Raw genomic sequence first — 22,974 nt, 5'->3', positions numbered from 1 at the left:
AGGCTGAGATGAAGGGTGCAAATGAATAGTAAAGAAAGCATGTTTGAAATCCAGAAGAGAATGATGGGTTGTGGAGGGGTTGTGGAGGGAGGTATTGAGGAGGAGAGTATATGAGTTTGGCACCACGGGGTGGATAGGCAAAACAATTTGGCTGACAAGGCACAGATCCTGAACTAATTGTAAGACTTGTCTGGTTTTTGAACAGGTAAAATGGGGGAATTGTAAGGAGAGTTTATAGGCTTTAAAAGGCCATGCTGTAACAGGCGAGTGATAACAGGCTTTAATCCTTTTAAAGCCTGCTGGGGGATGGGATATTGACATTGAGCACGGTAAGGGTGATTAGGTTTTAATGGGATGGTAAGGGGTGCATGATCAGTCGCCAAGGAGGGAATAGAGGTGTCCTATACTTGAGGATTAAGGTGGGGAGATACAAGGGGAGGATGTGAAGGAGGCTTTGAACTGGGGGAAAAGGTGGCAATGAGGTGTGGCTGTAGCCTAGGAATAGTCAGGGAAGCAGATAATTTAAAGTGTCTCGGCCTAATAAGGGAACTGCGCAGGTGGGGATAACTGAAAAGGAGTGCATAAAAGAGTATTGTCCAAGTTGGCCTCAGAGTTGGGGAGTTTTGAGAGGTTTAGAAGCCTGGCCATCAATACCCACAACAGTTATGGAGGCAAAGGAAACAGGCCTTTGAAAAGAAGGTAATGTGGAGTTGGTAGCCTCCGTATTGATTAAGAAGGGGACGGACTTACCCTCCACTGTAAGAGTTACCCAAAGCATCTGTGATGGTCCAGGAAGCTTCCAAGGCGATTGGGCAGTGTCAGTCTTCAGCTGCTAAGCCGAGAAGATTTGGGAAGGAGTCAGTCAGGCAGCCTTGGGCCAGAGTTCCAGGGGCTCTGGGAGTGGCTGCCAGGTGAGTTGGACAGTCCGATTTCCAGTGGGGTTCCACACAGATGGGACAAGGCTTAGGAAGAATCCTGGGCTGTGGGCATTCCTTGGCCCAGTGGCCAGATTTCTGGCACTTGAAGCAAGATCCTGATGGAGAAGGTCCTGTAGGAATGCTTGACTGCTGCAGCTTAGGCATTTTGAAGTTCTTGTGTACTGGAGATGTGGCTGGGGTTTCTCTCACAGTGGAGGCAAGGAACTACAACTCAGAAATACATTGCTACTTGGCTGCCTTTACTCTATTATTGTACACCTTGAAGGCGAGGTTAATTAAGTCCTGTTATGGGGTTTGAGGGCCGGAATTTAATTTTTGGAGTTTTATTTAATGTTGGGAGTGGATTGGGTAATAAAATGTATATTGAGAATAAGACTGCCTTTTGACCTTTTAGGGTCTAGGGCTGTAAAGCGTCTCAGGGTTGCTGCCCAACGAGCCATGAACTGGGCTGGGTTTTTATATTTGATGAAAAAGAGCCTAAATACTAACTGATTTGGCAGAGGTCGGATAAAGGAAAAGGAGCGTTAACCTTGACTATGCCTTTAGCTCCAGCCACCTCTTTAAGAGGAAATTGTTGGGCAGGTTGGGGAGGGCTAGTCGCAGAACAAAACTGTAAGCCGGACTGGGTGTGGGGAGAGGAGGTGATAGAAGGATTATAGGGTGGAGGAGCAGAAGCTGAGAAAGAATTGGAGTCTGATTCAGCCTGGTGGGGAGTGACCTGAGGAGCATTCTGGGGATTAGGTGAGAGGTCAGATGGGTCGGTAGAAAAGGAAGATTGGAAGATTGAAAAGACGCAGCGACGCTTGGGGTTGGGACTGAGGGGACAGGCGGGAGGGAAAGAAGGAGGATTTGGGATGAGTCGCATTGGGAACAGAGACTAGGGAGGGACCGATGTGTAAAAGAATGCCTGGACATCAGGCACCTCAGACTGTTTGCCCATTTTACAACAAGAATTATCTAGATCTTGTAGGATGGAAAAATCGAAAGTGCCGTTTTCTGGCTATTTGGAACCATTGTTGAGTTTGTATTGGGGTTAAGCGGCATTGCAAAGAAAATAAGGCATTTAGGTTTTAGGTCAGGTGTGAGTTGAAGAGGTTTTAAGTTCTTGAGAACACAGGCTAAGAGAGAAGAAGGAGGAATGGAGGGTGGAATGTTGCCCACAGTGAAGGAGGCAAGCCCAGAGAAAAGAGAGGGTAGAGACACGGAGAGAAGGGGTGGGGGGTGCTTTGCCCCCCAGGAAAGTGGAGAGAAAAGAGAGGGTAGAGACACAGAGAGAAGGAGTCGGGGGTGCTTGTCCCCCAGGAACGTGGAGAGAAAAGAGAGGGTAGAAACATGGAGAGAAGGGGTGGGGGGTACTTGCCCCCCAAAAAGTGGTGTTTGCCACTAAGGGTGAAAGATCAAGGCAGGCATCCTCGCGGTGATCAGACAACTCTGAAACGTGGGTGAATAATCAAGCAGGCGTCCCCGCAGTGATTAAACACCAAGGGAAGACTGTCTTCCTGAGTCCGTGATCGGCGCCGGAGTTTTGGGTTCACAGATAAAATGCATTTCCTGTCTCTACCAGAAAAGGAAAGGAACCGAAATTAAGAGAAGGGAGAGATTGAAAGATGGCACCAAGATTGAAAGGAGAAAGAGGTTGAGGGATAGTGAGAGAGGTTGGAGAAGAGAGTAAAAAGAGGCCGCTTACCTGATTTAAAATTGGTGAGATGTTCCTCAGGCTGGTTGGTCTGAGGACCCGAGGTCATTAGGTGGATCTTTATCATGAAGCAAAGAGCAGGAGGACAGGGGATTGATCTTCCAAGGGTGGTCCCCCGATCCGAGTCATGGCACCAAATTTCACGCACGTCCATGTGAAGAGACCACCCAACAGGCTTTGTGTGAGCAATAAAGCTTTTTAATCACCTGGTTGCAGGCCGGCTGAGTCTGAAAAAAGAGTCAACGAAAGGAGATAGGGGTGGGGCCATTTTATAGGATTTGGGTAGGTAGTGGACAATTACAGTCAAAGGGGGGTGTTCCTTGGTGGGCAGGGGCGGGGGACACAAGGTGCTCAGTGGGGGAGCTTTTGAGCCAGGATGAGCCAGGAGAAGGAATTTCACAAGGTAATGTCATCAGTTAAGGCAGGAACAGGCCATTTTCACTTCTTTTGTGATTCTTCAATTACTTCAGGCCATCTGGATATATACGTGCAGGTCACAGGGGATATGATGGTTTAGCTTGGGCTCAGAGGCCTGACAAGGATGTTACTCAGGTTACTAGTTCCTGCAACTGGATGGATGATGGTGTTATTCAGTGTAATTGGAAATAAAGATGTTACAAGCAAATTTGTGGAAAATTAATGTTGAGCCCAGCTTTGGACATATTGAGATTGTAAACTCTGAGGGACATATTACCCTATTAGGTAGCTGGATATTACGATTTGGGTTCCAGGAGAGAGATTAGGGAATTATTAACATATGTATGTTAATTAAAGCCACAGAAGTGAAGATAACTCAGGGAGGAGGTATAAAATGAGTTCAGACACTGCACAAGTCTGAACCCTGAAGACACCAACATTAGAAGTGACCAGAGAACAGTGGAAAGTGTTTCAAGGTACCCAAGAGGTGAACTAAAGGCTGAAAGAAAACAATGTAATTTCAAGAAGGAGGGAGTGGTCAGTAGTTTCAATGCCCATTAAGGTCAAATCAAACAAGGAAAAAAATCATGACCATTGGTTGACAAAGAAGAGCTCAATTCCTTTCTACTCTATTCCCCACCTCCTGCCCTGGGAGATAAATTCTGGCAAAGTAAGGAGAACAGGAGCTAGATTATTTCTTTCCCAGCATTCTGTTGTGGATGATTTAAAACATACAGAAAAATGAAATGAATAATACAATGAACACATGTATATCATCCATCTAGATTCAACTGTCATTGACATCGTACCTTATTTGCTTTATCTAACCATCTATTCGTATACTTTTTTTGGTTGAACCATGTTAAGTTGCAGAGATCATGACCCTTCAACCCCACATTCTAAGTCGACATCTAAAGCCAGATTAAAATGAATAAAGGAGCACACAGGTGGTAAGTAGATAAAACAGTGAATGGAAATTTTGCTTTCAAGAAATTTGACTGTAAAAGAGAAAGCTGCTGGAGGAGAACCTCACTCAGTTCAAGGAAGTTTGTCTATTTTGTTATTTTGGGTTTTTTTTTTTGTTTCTTAAAATGTATGACTCCATATTTTTGTTTATTATTAATATTAGGCGGGAGAGCCTAGAGCAAGTTTAACTGCTGATGGGAAGGAGCGATTGGTGGGAGAGAGGCTGAAGGGAAGAAAGGAAGTACAGAACACTGAGTGATGGGAGGGGAGGCTTACTGAGCTGGGTGGGAGGACTAGCCTGGGAGCAGGGAGGACCAACTCTGCCCAGAGGGAAGAGGGCAGGAGGAGAGGAGAGTATAAATGCAGATGGAGACTGGGTACAGTGGCTCATGCCTGTAATCCCAGCACTTTGGGAGGCTGAGGCGGGCAGGTCACTTGAAATCAAGAGTTCAAGACTAACCTGGCCAACATGTCAAAACCCCGTCTCTACTAAAAATACAAAAATTAGCCAGTTGTGGTAACGCATGTCTATAATCCCAGCTACTCAGGAGGCTGAGGCAGGAGAATCACATGAACCCGGGAGGTGGAGATTACAGTGAGCCGAGATGGCACCACTGCACTCCAGCCTGGGCAACGGAGTGAGACTCCATCTCTAAATAAATAAATAAGTAAATAAATGCAGATGGATGGGAGTCTGGGGCAGGGGGCTGCAGGGGATTTCATCTAAAGACTTTCCCTTTTTCGGGAACCAGGTGGTGAAGCCATAAGGGCAAGGCTGGGAATGGGGACTTGAGGGTCAAAGGGGTTTCAAATACAATGAAGAAAGCCAACCAGGCCAGGCGCGGTGGCTCACGCCTGTAATCCTAGCACTTTGGGAGGCTGAGGCAGGCATATCACCTAAGGTTGGGAGTTTGAGACCAGCCTGACCAACATGGAGAAACCCCGTCTCTACTAAAAATACAAAAATTAGCCAGGTGTGGTGGTGTATGCCTGTAATCCCAGCTACTTGGGAGGCTGAGGCAGGAGAATTGCTTGAACCCAGGAGACGGAGGTTGCAGTGAGCCGAGATCACGCCATTACACTCCAGCCTGGGCAATAAGAGTGAAACTCCATCTGAAAAAAAAAAAAAAAAAAGCCACCCACCACTGGCAGGCCAGTGGCATTGGAGACCAGTGGGACAAGAGGGCCAAGGATGTGAGAGCAGTTGGAGGGATAGACACAGGGGTTGCGGGGGAGGGTGCTAGGAGGAAGTAGAGATAAGAGAAGGTTGATGGGAAGGAATAAATCAAGTATTGGCTCTGGAAAGGCAGGTGAGGATTAAGATGCCTAGGGTCAGTGAGAAGAGGGTATATGAGATTTCTCAGGAGGCTGCAGTCTAATTGTGGCAGTGGGATTGGAGCTGAAGAGGGCATCTCTCACCTCTCTATCAACTCCACTGACCATCTAGTCCCTTGCCCAGAGACTAGGGGTAGGCTTGGTCTCCTGTCCCTGCCCTTCTTTCCCTCTAGAGGCCTTGTCTCTGAGCAGTGAAGAGGAAACCGGAGCATCCCTCCCTGCCAGTGTCCGGTTACCAAGTTTTGGGGGCGGGCCATCTGGTGACTGTGACAGGAGCCCCAGCGCCCTGGCCAGCTCAGTCCATTCCTGGAGAAGAACCTGATGCAGCGATTCCTGCAGCTCCCGGGGGCCGTGGTGAGGCCTGGGGTCAGAGGGGCCTGCGGAGCTGATCAAGAGGCTGCTAGCCCTGTGCTGGCTCCCGAAGGTGGGCCCCCACTCCGGTACCAGGCCTTGGAGCCTGAGGAGCTTCGGTGGCTGCAGGCCCAGGAGGAAGACACGACCCCAGAAGCATCTCTGGAAGGACCTTGCCCAGAGGCCAGCCAGAGCCAGAGCCAGCCACTACGGTATAGAGGAACCCACAGGAACCCCCTACCCACACAGCCAGGAAGGCCAGGGATGGGCAGTTGCACTCTCAGCCCAGACCTCTTCCGGTCCCACCTCCTCTGATGGAGGCTTAGGCTGGCATTTAGGGTCCAGGCTGGGCGGAGAAGGTGGTCAGGGGCACCGTATGGGGGCTGAGGGTATGAGTGAGGAGAGATGAGGGGCTTAACTCCCTGGAGGCTCTGAGGGGAGGAGGATAGTAAAATATTTGAGGGTTGAGGTCCCACCTTGACCTCTTTCTCCCCACAGGCCCCCACTGGAGTGGGCTCTGGACGAGGTTTGGGGACAGGATACAGCACAGACAGGGTTTGGCCAGCCACTGCCTGCCAGTGGACTGGAACTTAGGTGGTAAGAGGTGACAGCGAGGTGTATATCAAGGGAGGTGAGCATGACTGACCCCCAGTGCCATGCCAGGCCCCCTGGCTGGCTCCAGCCACCCCCAGAAGAGTCCCTTAGGCTAGGTCAGACTAGGGGTCAGGTCAGAGTGAGTGCAGCAGCGTAAGGGGATCTGACTATGGGAGATAATGTTTCATGGCCTTAGGGTGTTGTGCCTTAGTCCCTGCCTCTGCCTCTTGGGAACAGAAGTTGGTGGGAGTGAGGACGAGAGGCCCAGGGCGGTCTCACCTCAGGTGGTGGCTGCGGTCTGTGTCAGTGCATATTCTGTGTCAGTGCATATTCGACAGTCAATCTTACCTGTGCTGGCTGCTTTAGGCCCAGTGGTCCTGCCCCCTTTCATTCCCCTTCTCCTGCAGGGGCCTGGAATGTACTCACTAGGCTGGGTGGGGAGGATGCCCTGGGGTGTGTGCATTTGACAGGCGCATGTGGCATTTGTGGGTGTGGTGAGGAAGGGAATACCCAGAGTTAAAGGAGATTGGGCAAACTTGGCCCTCCTTCCACGGAAGCCCAGGGAAAAGCCATCCCAGGGTGACTCCTCAGAAGATCAGAGGACCCTTGGGGCTGGATATATTTGATCTTAGAAGCCTACATTTATCATCAAAAATCTCAACTAGGAGTCCACTGACCATTTTGGTGAATGAGACTGGAGAGGCCAAGTTTGGTCCAAGTTATCTGTGTATTAGATGTGATGCGGCATGTGTGTGTGTGTGTAGGGGGACGTGTGTGGGGTGTGTGTGTCTCTATGAGGGTGTGGGGGAGCGGGGAGAGGTCTTGTGATATATGTCTGTAGGGGACATGTATGGGATATGTGTGTCTATAAGAGGGTGTGGGAGAGTGGGGAGAGGTCTCCTGGTGGTATATGTCTGGGGGGTTTGTAGGTGTGTAGGTGAGTTGTGTGGGTGGTTTATGTGTGTAGAGTTTTTCTGTGGGAGGTGTCTGTATGTGGGGGAGTGTGTTTCTCTGGGCGTTGTGTAGGCAGGATTTTGTGGGTGTGCGTGGGTTTATGTATGGATTCTACTAGTGTCTGCGGGACCTGTAGGTATGTTTGTATGAGCTGTCCGTGAGGTGTAGGTATGTCGGGGGACATGGGAGTGTCTGAGGTATATGTGGGTGGTATCAATGTGTAGTTGTCTGTGGGGTGTGCGTATGAAGGATCCTGACGTGGAGTGTTGTGCATTCATATCTCAGGGAAGCTGGTGCCCAGCTCTGTCATTTTTCCTAGGCCCTCGGTGCTGCCCACGCCTACCCAGCTCAATGGTCTGTACCTATGACCATGCCCCTGGTGTCCTGAGCTCAGCCTCCTACCCACTAAGAAACTCAACAGTCTGGTCTGTGTTTGGCAGGGTAAGAGGGTGATTGTCTTCTGGCCCTGGCCTGACCCTGGAAGAGTAGAAGGTGTCCTCTGATTTGGGGGGCATCCCCCCAGGTGAGGGAGTTTCAGATAACATGATGGGGCTGGATATTTTCTTCTGTCCTCACATGACAGATAGCGAGGGCCTCAGATAATGCTGGAAGGCATCATCTTTCTATTTTGCTTTCCATCAAAAATCTCTTTGGGAAAGACAGTTTCTAACATTCTTGGGATAGTGACTTCTTAGTGCCCCTCTTCTTGTCTGACGTCAGGTACTCACGCATTTCTGCAGCCCTGTGACTAAGTTGCGTGTTCTGTCTGGTTCTTCTCTTCCTCTCAGCATTCATCACTTGTTTCTCAGCATTAGCAGCAGTCATTTGCCACTTTATGATTGTTATCATGCTCTTTCCTCTCCTAACAGTGCTATCCCCAATTTCTGATTTTCTGTCATTTCTAAATGTTGCATGTCTGTGACTAACTTTGCACACATTGATTTTTTTTTTATTTTTTATTTTTGAGATGGAGTCTCGTTCTGTTGCCCAGGCTGGAGTGCAGTGGCGCGATCTTGGCTCACTGCAAGCTCCACCTCCTGGGTTCACGCCATTCTCCTGCCTCAGCCTACTGAGTAGCTAGGACTACAGACGCCCGCCACCACACCCGGCTAATTTTTTTTAAATTTTTTAGTAGAGACGGGGTTTCACCATGTTAGCCAGGATGGTCTCGATCTCCTGGCCTTGTGATCCGCCTGCCTTGGCCTCCCAAAGTGCTGGGATTACAGGCGTGAGCCACCGTGCCCGGCCTGATTTTTAATTTTTATCACTGTGATATTTCTCAAGCTGGGTTCTTGTGCCTGGGTCAAAGCTGTGGGTTATCAGAGTGTCATCTGGGAAATTAGTGTGTGTGAGTCCCCACACACAGCTGCTCACCACATTTTGGAATTGTCTTGGCAACATATGAGTGCATCAGTTTCACACAATTCTATCAGCTATATATAGACACATTTTTTTCATGGGTTTATTAACAATTCTCTGATCACTTCGTGATCACCAGTTCTGCATCCTCTGAGTATGGTTAGCCACATTGTTCACTGCACAAGGGCATCTGGCCAAGGAATACCAGCCCATGCTCCACACACAGAATGGGGAGCAACAGCTCAGGGCTGTGTCTATCTGTAGGGGCATGCAGATTGAAAATGGGCTTGTAGCAGCCCTGACAGTGAATGCTGCAAAGAGACCTTATACATGTATATCAGTTCCTTTTTTAAATTTTTTTGAGATGGAGTCTCACTCTGTCACCCAGGCTGGAGTGCAGTGGCGCGATCTCGGCTCACTGCAATCTCCGCCTCCTGGGTTCAAGCGATTCTCGTTCCTCAGCCTCCTGAGTAGCTGGGATTACAGGTGTGTGCCACCATGCCCGGCTAATTTTTGTAATTTTAGTAGGGATGGGGTTTCACCATGTTGGCCAGGCTAATCTCGAACTCCTGACCTTAAGTGATCTGCCCACCTTGGCCTCCAAAAGTGCTGGAATTACAAGCGTGAGCCACCACACCTGGCCTCTATTTCGAATATTAAACTTTAATTTACCATATCCCAAATATTTTTCCTTTTGTTGCTATTATGGGCTGAATTGTGTCCCTCCAAAATGCATATGTTGAAGTTCTAGCCCCCAGTACCTCAGAATGTTACCTTTGAGGTGATTAAGTTAAAATGAGGTTATTAAGGGGGGCCCTAATCCAATATGACTGATTTCTTTATAAGAAGAGGAAATTTGGATATAGGCACGCAGAAGGAAGACCATGTGAAGACAGAGAAGATGGTTGTAAGAGACAGAAAAACCCAAAGTGTGTTTCTCCTACTCTCATACACACCGCTCACCAGAGAGTGCTTCACCTCTGGCCACAAAAATGGGTGGAGATTTCTCCCCACCAACAACCTGTTCTCCAGCAGACACTAACTGGGTGTTCTCTAATTCAAGTCAATCTAGTGTTAGATTTTTTAGGTTAAGGGCTCAGTGCCACAAGACTGCTCTCTGCTTCAGATGCCAATTCCAAGTGGTAAGTTGTCAGCTATACTTCTGACCAACTGGCTATAAATCAGGGGTTCCCATGCCACCCTCCTTGGGTTCAACTCTGTGAGTGGCTCACAGAACTCAGGGAAACTTTAGTTATATTTACCCATTTATTATAAAGGGTAGAGACAAACACCAGATGAAGAGATGCATAGGGAGAGGTATGGAAGGAGGGGTGCAGAGCTCCCATGCCCTCTCCAGGCACCACACCCTCCAGGCACCTTCACATGTTCCACAGTCTGGAAGCTCTCGAAACCCTATCCTCTTGGGTTTTTATGAAGGCTTCATGATTGATCGCATCTTTGGCCATGTGATCAACTCAACCATCAGCCCCACTCCCCATTCCCCAGAGGTCAAATAGTGGGATTGAAAGTTTCAACCCTCAGCTGGGCACAGCAGCTCACGCCTATAATCCCAGCACTTTTGGAGGCCAAGGCGGGTGGATCACTTGAGGTCAGGAGTTCGAGACCAGCCTGACCAACATGATGAAACCCATCTCTATTAAAAATACAAAAATTTGCCAGGTGTGGTGGTGGGCAACTGTAGTCCCAGCTATTTGGAAGGCTGAGGCAGGAGAATTGCTTCAACCCAGAAGGTGGAGGCTGCAGTGAGCCGAGATTGCCTCACTGCACCACTCCAGCCTGGGCGACAGAGCAAGACTCAGTGTCAAAAAAAAAAAAAAAAAAAGAAAGAAAGAAAAAAAGTTCCAACCATCTGATAACAAAAGATGCTTCTATCACCCAGGAAATTCCAAGGGATTTCCATGTCAGTTGTTCCTCTCACTCAGGAAGTTATAAAGGTCTTAGGATCTCTGCGTGAGGAACTGGGTGGAAGACCAAATATTAGAACAGAAGTTCTCCTAGCATCCCTATTGTCAAGAGTTTTAGGAGCTCTGTCTCAGAAATGGGGTATAGAGACCAAATATATATTTCTTTACAATATCACAAGAATCATCTACAAGCCAAAGAAAGAGGCTATAGAAGAAACCAACCCTGCTGACACTTTAATCTCAGCCTTCCAGCCTCCAGAACTGTGAGCAAATAAATTTATGTTGTTTAAGCCACCATCTGTAGTACTTCTTGTTTTTTTTTTTTTTTAGAGACAGGTTCTTGCTCTGTTGCCTAGGCTGGAGTGCAGTAGCACAATCATAGCTCACTGCAGCCTCCAACATCTTGGTGCAAGCGATCCTCCCACTTCAGCCTCCTGAGTAGCTGTGACTACAGGCATGTGCCACCATGCCTGGCTAATTTTTTTTATTTTTGTAGAAACAGGATCTGACTATGTTGTCCAGGCTGGTCCCAACTCCTGAGCTCAAGCAATCCTTCTGCCTCAGTCTCCCAAAGTGCTGGGATTACAAGTGTGAGCCACCATGCCTGGCCTGTGGTTCTTTGTTATGGTGGTTCTAGGAAGCTAGTATAGTTGCCTTATTTTTCTCATAAATTTAGTTTTTAGATACCAAAGTTTAAAAATTAAACCTAGGCCTGGCACAGTGGCTCACACTTGTAATCCCAGCACTTTGGGAGGCCGAAGGAGGCAAATCACTTGAGTCCAGGAGTTTGAGACCAGCCTGGTCAACATGGCGAAACCCCAACTCTACTAAAAATACAAAAAATTTGCCAGGCATGGTGGTGCACACCTGTAATCTCAGCTATTTAGGAGGCTGAGGCATGAGAATCACTTGAACCCAGGAGGTTGAGGCTGCAGTGAGCCGAGATTGCGCCACTGCACTCCAGCCTGGGCAACAGAGCGAGACTTCGTCTCAAACAGAAAAACGAAAAAAAGGCCTGGGCGCAGTGGCTCACACCTGTAATCCCAGCACTTTGGGAGGCTGAGGTGGGCGGATCAACTGAGGTCGGGAGTTTGAGACCAGCCTGACCAACATGGAGAAACCTCATCTCTACTAAAAATACAAAAATTAGCTGGGCATGGTGGCGCATGCCTGTAATCCCAGCTATTCTGGAGGCTGAGGCAGGAGAATTGCTTGAACCCAGGAGGTGGAGGTTGCAGTGAGCTGAGATGGCACCATTGCACTCCAGCCTGGGCAACAAGAACGAAACTCTGTCTCAAAAAACAAAAACGTACCAATTAAACCTAGCCATATTGTTGCTGCTAATAATTTTATGACCTTAATAAAATCTTCCCTTCCTTCTTTTGTATTTAAAAATAATTAACTGTTAAGCAAATGCGGGATTTATTTTGGGGTGAAATATGTATACAAGTTAAATTATTTGCTGCTGGCCAGGTGTGGTGGCTCACACCTGTAATCTCAGCGCTTTGGGAGGATGAGGCGGGAAGATCACTTGAGGTCAGGAGTTTGAGACCAGCCTGACCAACATGGTGAAACCCTGTCTCTACTAAAAATACAAAAATTACCCGAGCGTGGTGGTGCATGCCTGTAATCCCAGCTACTTGGGAGGCTGAGGCAGGAGAATCACTTGAACCCAGGAGGCAGAGGTTTCAGTGACCCGAGATCGTGCCATTGCACTCCAGCCTGGGCAATGAGAGCAAAATTCCATCTAAAAAAAAAAAAAGTGCTGCAAAGCAGTTGTCCCAATAGCATTTATTTAAGTGGGGCGGGGGCGGGGGGGTGGGGGCGGGGGGAGATTCTTATTGGTTCGTAATTTATCAAGTTAGACCTTTTATGAAATTCCCCCCATGACCTTTGACCTTCTGTTTTTAACCTGGTACCAAACAGCTTTTATCATCGTCTCGTGGTGTTTATGTTTTGAAGTCCAATAGGGTGAGTTGTCTATGATTGTTTCCTTCTTTTCCCAAAAATATTCTTTGGAGTTCTTACCTACTGATTTTTTTTTTCCAGATGAATTTTGCTGTCACTTAAGTTTGACAAAATGTTCCCTTTGAAATTTCAAATTTTTGAAATGAAGTATGAGATCTAAAAAAAAAAAGAAACCTGTGTATTGGCTCAGCATTACCCTTATTCCTCTCAGCCAAGTGCAAGGGATCACTTACTCAAATCTTTATTCATCCCACTAGAGTTTAATGACTTCCTTGAATGGCTGTTCAATGTTCAGTGACAGGTCTGGCTTTTGTTGTGAGGCCATCTATGGAGTCTCTGGGACCCTTCCAGTCCCTGGAATCAGTTTGGTCTGAGAGGTCAGGACTTGGAAACATACTGGAGGCAGGGCAAGGGCACCCTGCTCTTGTTTTGGCATCTACCTCTTTTCCGCTGGTCCTTCTTATCCATCCAACTAGTCCTTTTCCCTGAGCCAGGTCCATACTTTCCCACCCCAAACCCTTCCTCTTGTTTCCTGGCTCTCTGTTTCTGGCTACATTCATTTCCTACACTCCTGTATCAAAAGTACCACAATTGCTTCTCGTTCCCACAGTGCAGTGCGGCTGAGCGCCTCAGAGCCCGCGGGGACGCTGCGGGGGGATTGCGGGGAGGGGGCGTTGGGAGGTGCCGATGTTGGGCTGGGCGGATGAGCGCATCTGCGTGGTGAGCCTTCCAACGTGCGCGAGAAGGACGTGGAAGACCTTTTCTACAAGTACGGCCGGATCCGCAAGATCAAGCTTAAGAATGGGCACTGCCTTGTGCCCTTCGCCTTGGTGCGCTTTGAGGACCCCCGAGATGCAGAGGATGCTATTTATGGAAGAAATAGTTATGATTATGGCCAGTGTCGGCTTCGTGTGGAGTTCTCCAGGACTTACGAAGTCGGGGTGGGTGGCCCCGTGGTGGGAGGAATGGGCCTTCTGCAAGAAGATCTGATTTCCGAGTTCTTGTTTCAGGACTTCCTCAGGCAGCTGGCAGGACCTGAAGGATCACATGCGAGAAGTTGGGGATGTCTGTTATGCCGATGTGCAGAAGGACGGTGTGGGGATGGTTGAGTATCTCAGAAAAGAAGACATGGAATATGCCCTGCATAAATTGGATGACACTAAATTCCACTCTCATGATAGTGAAACTTCCTACATCTGAGTTTATCCTGAGAGAAGCACCAGCTATGGCTACTCACAGTCTCGGTTTGGGTCAAGGGGCCGTGACTCTCCATACTAAAGCCGGGGTTCCCCACACCACTTCTCTCCTTTCAGGCCCTACTGAGACAGGTGATGGGAATTTTTTCTTTATTTTTTAGGTTAACTGAGCTGCTTTGTGCTCAGAATCTGCATTCCAGATTGAGGATTTAGCGTCTTAGGAAATTATTTTAATTTTTTTTTTTTAAAGAAGAAAAAAAAACTACATACTTTCTACCAGGGCCATATTAGCAGTGAAACATTTTAAACTGCAGAAATTGTGGTTTTGGTTCAGAAACAAGTTGTATATTTTTCACTCCTGAATATGGGTAAAAAATCAGTTCCGTCTTTGTGGGTTGCTCTGCTATGGAGATCAACAGTTACTGTGACTGAGTTGGCCCATTCTGCTTAAAAATATGTTTTAAACGTTTAAGAAAAATGCTCATCATCACTGGCCATCAGAGAAATGCAAATCAAAACCACAATGAGGTACCATCTCACACCAGTTAGAATGGCAATCATTAAAAGTCAGGAAACAACAGGTGCTGGAGAGGATGTGGAGAAATAGAAACATTTTTACACTGTTGGTGGGAGTGTAAACTAGTTCACCCATTGTGGAAGACAGTGTGGCGATTCCTCAAGGATCTAGAACTAGAAATACCATTTGACCCAGTGATCCCGTTATTGGGTATATACCCAAAGGATTGTAAATCATTCTACTATAAAGACACATGCACACGTATGTTTATTGCAGCACTGTTCACAATAGCAAAGACTTGGAACCAACCCAAATGTCCATCAGTGATAGACTGGATTAAGAACATGTGGCATGGCTGGGTGCGGTGGCTCATGCCTGTAATCCCAGCGTGGCTCATGCCTGTAATCCCAGCACTTTGGGAGGCCAAGACGGGTAGATCACGAGGTCAGGAGATCGAGACCATCCTGGCTAACACGGTGAAACCCCGTCTCTACTAAAAATACAAACAATTAGCTGGGCGTGGTGGTGGCGGGTACCTGTAGTCCCAGCTACTCGGTAGGCTGAGGCAGGAGAATGGCATGAACCCAGGAGGTGGAGCTTGCAGTGAGCCGAGATTGCGCCACTGCACTCCAGCCTGGGCGACAGAGCGAGACTCCATCTCACAAAAAAAAAAAAAAAAAAAAAAAAAAAGAAGAAGAAAATGTGGCACATATACACCATGGAATACTATGCAACCATAAAAAAGGATGAGTTCGTGTCCTTTGTAGGGACATGGATGAAGCTGGAAACCATCATTCTGAGCAAACTACTGCAAGGACAGAAAACCAAACACTGCAGGTTCTCACTCATAGGTGGGAATTGAACAATGAGAACACTTGAACACGGGGTGGGGAACATCACACACTGGGGCCTGTTGTGGCGTTGGGGGAGGAGGGAGGGATAGCATTAGGAGGAATACCTAATGTAAATGACGAATTAATGGGTGCAGCACACCAACATGGCACATGTATACATATGTAACAAAGCTGCACGTTGTGCACATGTACCCTAGAACTTAAAAGTATAATTAAAAAAAAAAAGTTTAGTAATTGAAAAAAAAAAGTACAACAATTGGGTTGGTTGGAACAGCAGAAATGAATTGTCTCACAGCTCTGGAGGCCAAAAGTCTGAACTCAAGGTGTCGGCAGGACCATGCTCCCTCTGAAACCCATAGGGAAATCCTTCTTTGCCCCTTCTAGCTTCTGGTTGTTTGCTGGCAGTCTCTGGCATTCCCTGGCTTGTAGACGCATCTTTCCAATCGTCTGCCTTCACATGGTAGTCTCCCTGTGTCTGTCTCTTTAAGTGGCTGTCTTTTGTTTTTTGTGTTTTTTTAATTTCAATTTAATCTATTTTTTGTAGACACATTGTTTCACCATGTTGCCAGGCTGGTCTCGAACTCCAGGGCTCAAGTGATCCTCCCGTCTCAGCTTCCCAAAGTGCTGGGATTACAGGCGTGAGCCGCCACACCCAGCCCACATGGCTGTCTTCTTATGGGAAACCAGACATGGGATTAGAGACCCACTCTATTAGAGTAGGATTGCATTTAACTAATTACATCTGCAACAACTCTATTTCCAAATAAGGTTACATTCTGAGGTACTAGGGGTTAAGACTTAAATATATCCTTTTTAGGAAGGACACAGTTCAACCCACAATATTAGCTGGCCACATGTTTCCCCTGATCTGTACTTTACTTGTTCCCCCTGGCTCTGGTCCCTCCTCGGGTCAGGTCCTGCCTGAGCCTCCCCTGGCCATGTCCCTTCTTTGTGCCTGGACCCTCCTGATTAATACCCCATCCCCACCCTTGTGCCCTCAGCTGACTTCTTGTACCTCCCACCAGGCATGATGACCTGAAGGAGATGCTGGACACCAACAAGGATTCTCTCAAGCTGGAGGCCATGAAGAGGATTGTGGCGGTAAGAGGGGAAGGAGGAGGCCTCCCTCCGGGCGGGGCCTGGGTGGCCAAGAGCAGCTCTCCTTAGCTCCTTGTAGACCTTCCCTCTAGTTAGTGCTGTGCCTCTCGCTTTGTCCCTCTTCCCCTACCTTGACCCCACCACCCAGATGATTGCCCGAGGAAAGAATGCTTCAGACCTGTTTCCCGCGGTGGTGAAGAACGTGGCCTGTAAGAACATAGAGGTGAGCACTACCTGGTGAGGGATTGCTTGTCCCCACCTCCCCCAGGACCACACTCAAGCTTGGGGTGAGGAAGGAAATGATTTAGCCCCTGGGGGCCCGACCTGCTGAGAAATGTCTCTGAGCCAGGAGAAGACACTGTCTCCATGTCCCTGAACTGGATGTGGATCAAGGTAAAGGACCCGGATACACTCAGGGGTGCTCTCCCCCACTGGGAGAGTTTGTCCCCATGGACCGCAGCTGGCTGGGGAGATGACATCCCAGGGGTAGGGGGGTGGGCACAGGTGCCTGCTGAGAAGCGTTCTGCTGAGAAACGTGCTCTCCCCAAGGTGAAGAAGCTTGTCTATGTGTACCTGGTACGCTACGCTGAGGAGCAGCAAGACCTGGCCCTGCTGTCCATCTCCACCTTCCAACGTGGCCTAAAGGTCAGGGGTCTCAGTTTGCCTCCCAGGGCCTGGGCCTCGTTGGCGCTGTATCGGAGGAGTAGGCCTGGGGAGAGGCCATGAGCATGGGAGCGGGCTCTGCAGACCCCTTCCTACCTGCCTAAAATTGGGAGGGTCACAGTCAGAAGAGGCCAGCCAGACCCTCAGAGAGTGGAAGCTGGGCTCAGAAGGGGCGTAAGAGATGAAGTGGGTACCCAGGGCCCCTGTCTCTCTTCCCAGGAGCCTGTGGTAATGGCTGCTTCTAGTATGAACCACTTGAGCCCCCGGAGAGTGGAGAGTCTCTAGCAATGGAGAACCCCTCAACCCTCACCCCCCTTTGTGTAAAGGTGTGAATTGTGGTCCACAGCCAGGTAGATTTCAACCTTTAGCAGTGGCCTGAATCCCCCACACCATTCTCACCTTTTGTTTCATTTTGCCCAAGGCCTCTAGTTGGATTTACATATGTTAGGTGCATGTATAAGTCTCCCCCCTAAGGGCTTTTCTGGTTAGTCTAAGACATCTTGAGGGTAAAGACAGCCATTTCAAGGCCATTCTCTCCATATTGGATTTTTCAGCTCTGATTACAACCATTAACTCCTCTATTTTTGCATACCTTTATTTATTTATTTATTTATGAGACAGGTTCTCACTGTGTTGCCCAGGCTGGAGTGCAGTGGTGCAATCATGGCTCACTGGAGCCTCGACTTCCCTGAGCTCAGGTGATTCTCCCACCTCTGTCTCCTGAGTAGCTGCGACTACTCAGCCTGCATCACCATGCTCGGCTAATTTTTTTGTAGTTTTTGTAGAGATGGGGTTTCACCCTGTTGCCTATGCTGGTCTTGGACTCCTGGGCTCAAGTGGCCTCAGCTTCCCAAAGTGCTGGGATTACAGGGATGAGCTAATACTCCTAGCCTGGATACTTTTAGTTCAAATTTCTGTGAGAGAGATTGTGAAAGGTCCAGCTCATCTTTTCATATCCAGAAGTTCTGTAGGTTGCTGGGTAGACAGGATTGCTGCTCAAATCCAGGGCCCACCCCTTGTCCAATCTGCTATGGCCAGCAAGAGGGGTTGACAGTCGGCTTCTTTGGGGTGAGAGTAGAAAGCATGGTCACTTGAATATACAATTCATTCATTTAGTAAATACTTGGGTGTCTCTATGCCACACATTGTGCTAGATTTCTTTTTATAAGTCAAAACCATGGAATCCGTCTTAGATTGGCAAGTAATCTTTTGGTTTGAGTAAGGGTTAAGTATAAAAACTAATCTGAAATTGTTGTACAGATTTTCACCTATAGTCTCTACCAACTGACCCTGTCCCCCTTTTAGAAAACCAGAGCTCATTTAGTTCAACTCAATGTGATAATTTCTTTCTGCAAAGTGCCAAATAGTATTTTAGGTTTTGTAGGCCTTATAGTCTCAACTATGCAACTACTCAATTTTGCCCTTATGGTGCAAATGCAGCCATTGACAAGTGGGCGTGGCCGTGTTCCAATAAATCTATATAAAAAACAGGCAATAGACAGATTTTATCCAAGGGCTGTAGCATGCCAGCCTTTGCTCTAGAACATGTCTAACAGGTCATCTTTTCTGATAGGGACCTCACTCCTTCATAAGGCAACTTGCTCCATCTCAAGACAACTACCACTATTTGGGGTGTTTTTTAAACCATTCTCTTTTGTTGAAACCTCCACAACTATAATTTTTAAAAATTGATTTCAGGCTGGGTGTGGTGGCTCATGCCTGTAATCCCAGCACTTTGGGAGGCCGAAGCAGGCAAATCACAAGGTCAGGAGTTCAAGACCAGCCTGGCCAACATGGTGAAACTCCATCTCTACTAAAAATACAAAAAATTAGCTTGGCATGGTGGCGGGTGCCCATAATCCCAGCTACTCAGGAGGCTGACGCAGGAGAATGGCTTGAACCCGGGAGGCAGAGGTTGCAATGAGCCGAGAACGTGCCACTGCAGTCCAGCCCAGGCGACAGTGTGAGATCCATCTCAAAAAAAAAAAAAATTGATTTCAGGCTGTACTGCATTATGACTGCACCTGTGAATAGCCACTGTACTCCAGCCTGGGCAACATAGGGAGACCCTGTATCTAAAAAATAAAATAAAATTTACTACAGGTTCACAAAAGGCATAAAGAATAATATAATGAATATCCATAAGAAATGACACATTTCTCAAATAGCCAAAGCCTCCTATATATCTTCTCTTGTTTATCATTCATAGGTATGTATTTATTCCTGTGCTAGTAATTTGCATATTGTTAAGCAATATAAAATGTTTTGTAAATGGTGTCATCGTACTACATATGTATTCCTTTAAAACTTGTTTTCTTTTTTGTTGTCACTGGCTTTTGGTCTCTCCTGCATGTTGGAACCAATCATTTCAATCCAGCCTTCTCCCTTCTTTCAATCCTAGCCCAGGCTAGGGCCGTGTTCACTTTCTTAGGAGATCCCTCATGGAATCAAACCTCTGACTGGCAAGCAGATAATCCAGGTCTCCCTACATCCTGTCTTTGTACAGTTGGTCCCTTGAACCCCCTATGAAACCCTACTCTATTTCATTTTATCAGTTTAGCACAGGGTCCAAACCAGGGTGATTCTGAATCTTAATTATGTCCCTCCTGATTTTGTGTCTTCTTTCAAGATACTGATAAGCTATTTGGACCAGGGCAAAAGACTGAGGCATAGCATGTTTCCAGGTTGACACTGATCTGTTAATAAACCTTCTCCAAGTATATTTCACCACGTTGTAGACCCACCTGACTGTACAGACAGCTGGCATTTTTCTATCTTGTTAGGAAGGATCTTATTCAATAGCAATAAATAAATAAATAAATAACACCTTTCATGTGCAAAGGGTTGTGGGTGACACAGAGATAAAACAGATGTGAATTCTGCTCTTAAAAATGCTTGGCTATTAGGTGAAACAAAAGGCCTACCTAAAAAATAGCAATGCAGGAAATGCTATGAGACTTCCACAAACATATCACTGAAATCAAGATACTAATATCCACCGGCCTAGTTACCCCATCAAAAAGGAAAACACATTTTTTTTGATAACTTTCTGTGAATCTATAATCATTTCCCAAATAAAATGCTCACACACAAAAAAGGAAAACAGGTTTAAGCAGATGATGTGACTATTTGTCTCTAAGAAAACAGAGACTCCTTCCTTTTCAATAAATGTTTCTAACCCATCTGTTTAAAAGTCAATTCCAGAATTTTGTCAGGAATTAGCATCAATTTTACCTGCAATTGTGAGGATCTTGTCTTGTCTTTTTCCATTTCAGAAAGTCAGGGTAATATCTACCCTTCTTTAGTGTTCTATTCCCGTCATTCTCTAAGAGTAATAGTACAGGCACACCTCATTGTATTGCACTTTGCAGATATTGCCAGATATTGCACTTTTTACAAATTGAGGGTTTGTGGCAACCCTACATCAATCAAGTCTATCAGTGCCATTTTTCCAACAGTATGTGCTCACATTGTGCCTCTGTCACATTCTGGTAATTCTCACAATATTCCAAACTTTTTAATGATTATTATATGTTATGGTGATCAGTGATCTTTGATGTTACTATTGTAATTGTTTTGGGGTGCCACAAACCATGCTCAGACATGAAAGTGAAATTAATCAATAAATGTTGTGTGTGTTCTGACTGTTCCCCCATCTCCTTCACCTTGGGCCTCTTCATTCCCTGAGACACAACAATATTGAAATTAGATCAATTAATAACCCTACAATGGCCTCTAAGTGTTCAAGTGAAAGGAGGAACCACACATCTCTCACTTTAAATCAAAAGCTAGAAATGGTTAGGCTTAGTGAGGAAGGTATGTTAAAAGCTGTGATAGGCTGAAAGCTAGGCCACTTGCTCCAAACATTTAGCCAAGTTGTGAATGCAAAGTAAAAGTTCTTGAAGGAAATTAAAAGTGCTACTCCAGGCTGGGCGTGGTGGCTCACACCTGTAATCCCAGCACTTTGGGAGGCCGAGGCAGGAGGATCACTTGAGACCAGGGGTTCAAGACCGTCTCTATAAAAAATTTTTTTAAGTTAGCCTGATGTGGTGGTACGCACCTGTAGTCTTAGCTACTTGGGAGGCTGAGGTGGGAGGATCACTTGAACCCAGAAGTTTGAGGTGCTTCTCCAGTAAACACATGAATGATAAAGAAAGCAAGACAGGATTATTGCTGATATAGGAAAATTTAAGTGGTCTGGATAGACGATCAAACCAGCTACCACATTCCCTTAAGCCAAAGCCTAATTCATAGGCAGGTCTTAAATCTCTCCAATTCTATGATGGCTGAGAGAGGTGAGGAAGCTACAGAAGAAAAGACGGAAGCTAGTGGAGGTTGGTTCATGAAGTTTAAGTACAGAAGCCATCTCCATAACAAAAAAATGCAAGGTGAAGCAAAAGTGCTGATGGAGAAGCTGCAGCAAGTTGTCCAGAAGATCTAGCTAAGATCATTGATAGATGTGACTATGTTCAACAAGAGATGCTCAATGTAAATGAAACAGCCTCTTACTGGAAGAAGATGCCATCTAGCACTTTCCTACCTAGAGAGAAGTCAATGCCTGGCTTTAAAAAACAGGCTGGCTCTTGTTAGGGGCCAATGCAGCTAGTGACTTTAAGTTGAGGCCAGTGCTCAATGACCATTCTGAAAATCCTGGGGTCCTTAAGAATTATGGCAGATCTCCTCTGCCTGTGCTCTATAAATGGAACAACAGTGCCATGACAGCACATCTGTTTGCAGTTATGGTTTACTGAATTTTTTAAGCCCACTGTTGATACCTACCGCTTAAAGATTCCTTTCATAATATTACTGCTCATTGACAATGCATTTGTTCACTCAAGAGCTCTGATGGAGAGGTACAAGGAGATTAATGATTTCATGCCTGCTAACACAAAATCAGTTCTGCAGCCTATGGATCAATGAGTAATTTTGACTTTTAAGTCTTATTATTTAAGAAATACATCTCGTAAGGCTAGAGCTGCCATAGATAGTGATTCCTCTCATGGATCTGGACAAAGTAAATTGAAAACCTTCTGGAAAGGTTTATAGAAACCTTCTGGAAAGGTTTACCATTATAGATGCCATTAGGAACATTCATGATTCATGGGAGGAGGTCAAAATATTAACATTAACAGGAGTTTGGAAGAAGTTGATTCTAAACTCCATGGATGACTTTGAGGGGTTCACTACTTCAGTGGAGGAAGTAACTACATATGTGGTGGAATTCTACCTAGAAGTAGAAGTAGAATTAAAAGTGGAGCCTGAAGATGTGACTGAATTGCTGCAATCTCATGATAAAACTTGAATGGATGAGGACTTGCTTCTTATGAGTGAACAAAGAAAGTCCTTTCTTAAAATGGAATCTGCCGGGTGCAGTGGCTCACGCCTGTAATCCCAGCATTTTGGGTGGCCGAGGTGGGTGGATCACGAGGTCAGGAGATCGAGACCATCCTGGCTAACACAGTGAAACCCCGTCTCTACTAAAAACAGAAAAATTAGCCAGGCATGGTGGCGGGCACCTGTAGTCCCAGCTACTCGGGAGGCTGAGGCAGGAGAATGGCGTGAACCTGGGAGGTGGAGCTTGCAGTGACCCGAGATCTCGCCACTGCATTCCAGCCTGGGCGACAGAGCGAGACTCCGTTACAAAAAAAAAAAAAAAAAAAAAAAAAAAAACTCCTGGTGCAGATGCTGTGAACATTGTTGAAATGACAACAAAGGATTTAGAATATTACATAAACTTAGTTGATAAAGCAGAGGCAGAGTTTAAGAGGACTGACTTCAATTTTTTTTTTTTTTGTAGAGACTGGGGTCTCCCTATGTTGCCCAGGCTGGTCTTGAACTCCTAGGCTCAAGCAATCCTCCTACCTCAGCCTCCCAAAGTGTTGGGATTACAGGCACAAGCCATCACGCCCAGCCTACATTGTTTTTTTAAAGACATAATGCTATTGCATGCTTAGTAGACTACAGTATATTGTAAACATAACTTTTTTTTTTTTTTTGGAGATAGGATCTCACTCTGTTGCTCAGTCTGGAGTGCAGTGGCATGAACATATGTAGCTCACTTCAGCCTCCAACTCCCTGGGCTCAAGTGATTCTCCCACTTCAGCTTCCCAAGCAGCTGTAACTATAAGCATAACTTGTATGCA

General features: G+C 46.6%; 1 protein-coding gene, 1 long non-coding RNA gene and 1 pseudogene across 5 annotated transcripts in view, besides 3 other annotated features; 2 read left to right on the top strand and 1 right to left on the bottom strand.

The window, feature by feature from the left end:
- AP3B2 (adaptor related protein complex 3 subunit beta 2) overlaps positions 1–22,974 on the top strand; it is a 50,595-nt gene that overhangs the window by 4,327 nt on the left and 23,294 nt on the right. For 2 of the 4 annotated variants that reach the window (NM_004644.5, NM_001278512.2), the window contains exons 2-4: positions 16,096–16,171; positions 16,317–16,391; positions 16,718–16,813. In NM_004644.5, the coding sequence (NP_004635.2) occupies positions 16,096–16,171; positions 16,317–16,391; positions 16,718–16,813 (247 nt within the window). Of the gene's footprint in view, positions 1–16,095; positions 16,172–16,316; positions 16,392–16,717; positions 16,814–17,050; positions 20,487–22,974 lie in introns of those variants that run through there. The other 2 variants (NM_001348440.2, NM_001278511.2) reach the window with 2 other exon arrangements.
- Positions 5,286–6,076: an enhancer, noted in NCBI's record as "H3K27ac-H3K4me1 hESC enhancer chr15:83368225-83369015 (GRCh37/hg19 assembly coordinates)". NCBI's record gives its function as "activates a minimal SCP1, AML or CMV promoter by ChIP-STARR-seq in naive H9 embryonic stem cells {active_cell/tissue: H9 hESC(naive)}" and the evidence as "EXISTENCE:reporter gene assay evidence [ECO:0000049][PMID:30033119]".
- Positions 6,077–6,869: an enhancer, noted in NCBI's record as "H3K27ac-H3K4me1 hESC enhancer chr15:83367432-83368224 (GRCh37/hg19 assembly coordinates)". NCBI's record gives its function as "activates a minimal SCP1, AML or CMV promoter by ChIP-STARR-seq in naive H9 embryonic stem cells {active_cell/tissue: H9 hESC(naive)}" and the evidence as "EXISTENCE:reporter gene assay evidence [ECO:0000049][PMID:30033119]".
- Positions 11,640–11,790: a silencer, noted in NCBI's record as "fragment chr15:83362511-83362661 (GRCh37/hg19 assembly coordinates)". NCBI's record gives its function as "represses an EF-1alpha promoter that drives an FKBP-Casp9 reporter gene in an ReSE screen in phorbol 12-myristate 13-acetate-treated (for megakaryocytic differentiation) K562 erythroleukemia cells {active_cell/tissue: K562(+PMA)}" and the evidence as "EXISTENCE:reporter gene assay evidence [ECO:0000049][PMID:32094911]".
- Positions 12,729–22,974, bottom strand: part of CPEB1-AS1 (CPEB1 antisense RNA 1) — a 45,051-nt gene continuing 34,805 nt past the window's right edge. Inside the window, exon 4 of the long non-coding RNA NR_046096.1 lies at positions 12,729–13,538. This is a non-coding gene — a long non-coding RNA (CPEB1 antisense RNA 1). The remainder of the gene's footprint in view (positions 13,539–22,974) is intronic.
- Positions 13,097–14,023, top strand: LOC100421235 (serine and arginine rich splicing factor 9 pseudogene; annotated as a pseudogene).

The sequence above is a fragment of the Homo sapiens genome, chromosome 15 (assembly GCF_000001405.40).
Source record: "Homo sapiens chromosome 15, GRCh38.p14 Primary Assembly".
Taxonomy (NCBI): Eukaryota; Metazoa; Chordata; class Mammalia; order Primates; family Hominidae; genus Homo; species Homo sapiens.
Note: the sequence above shows the minus strand (reverse complement) of the source record. Positions and strands in the feature narration are given on the sequence as shown.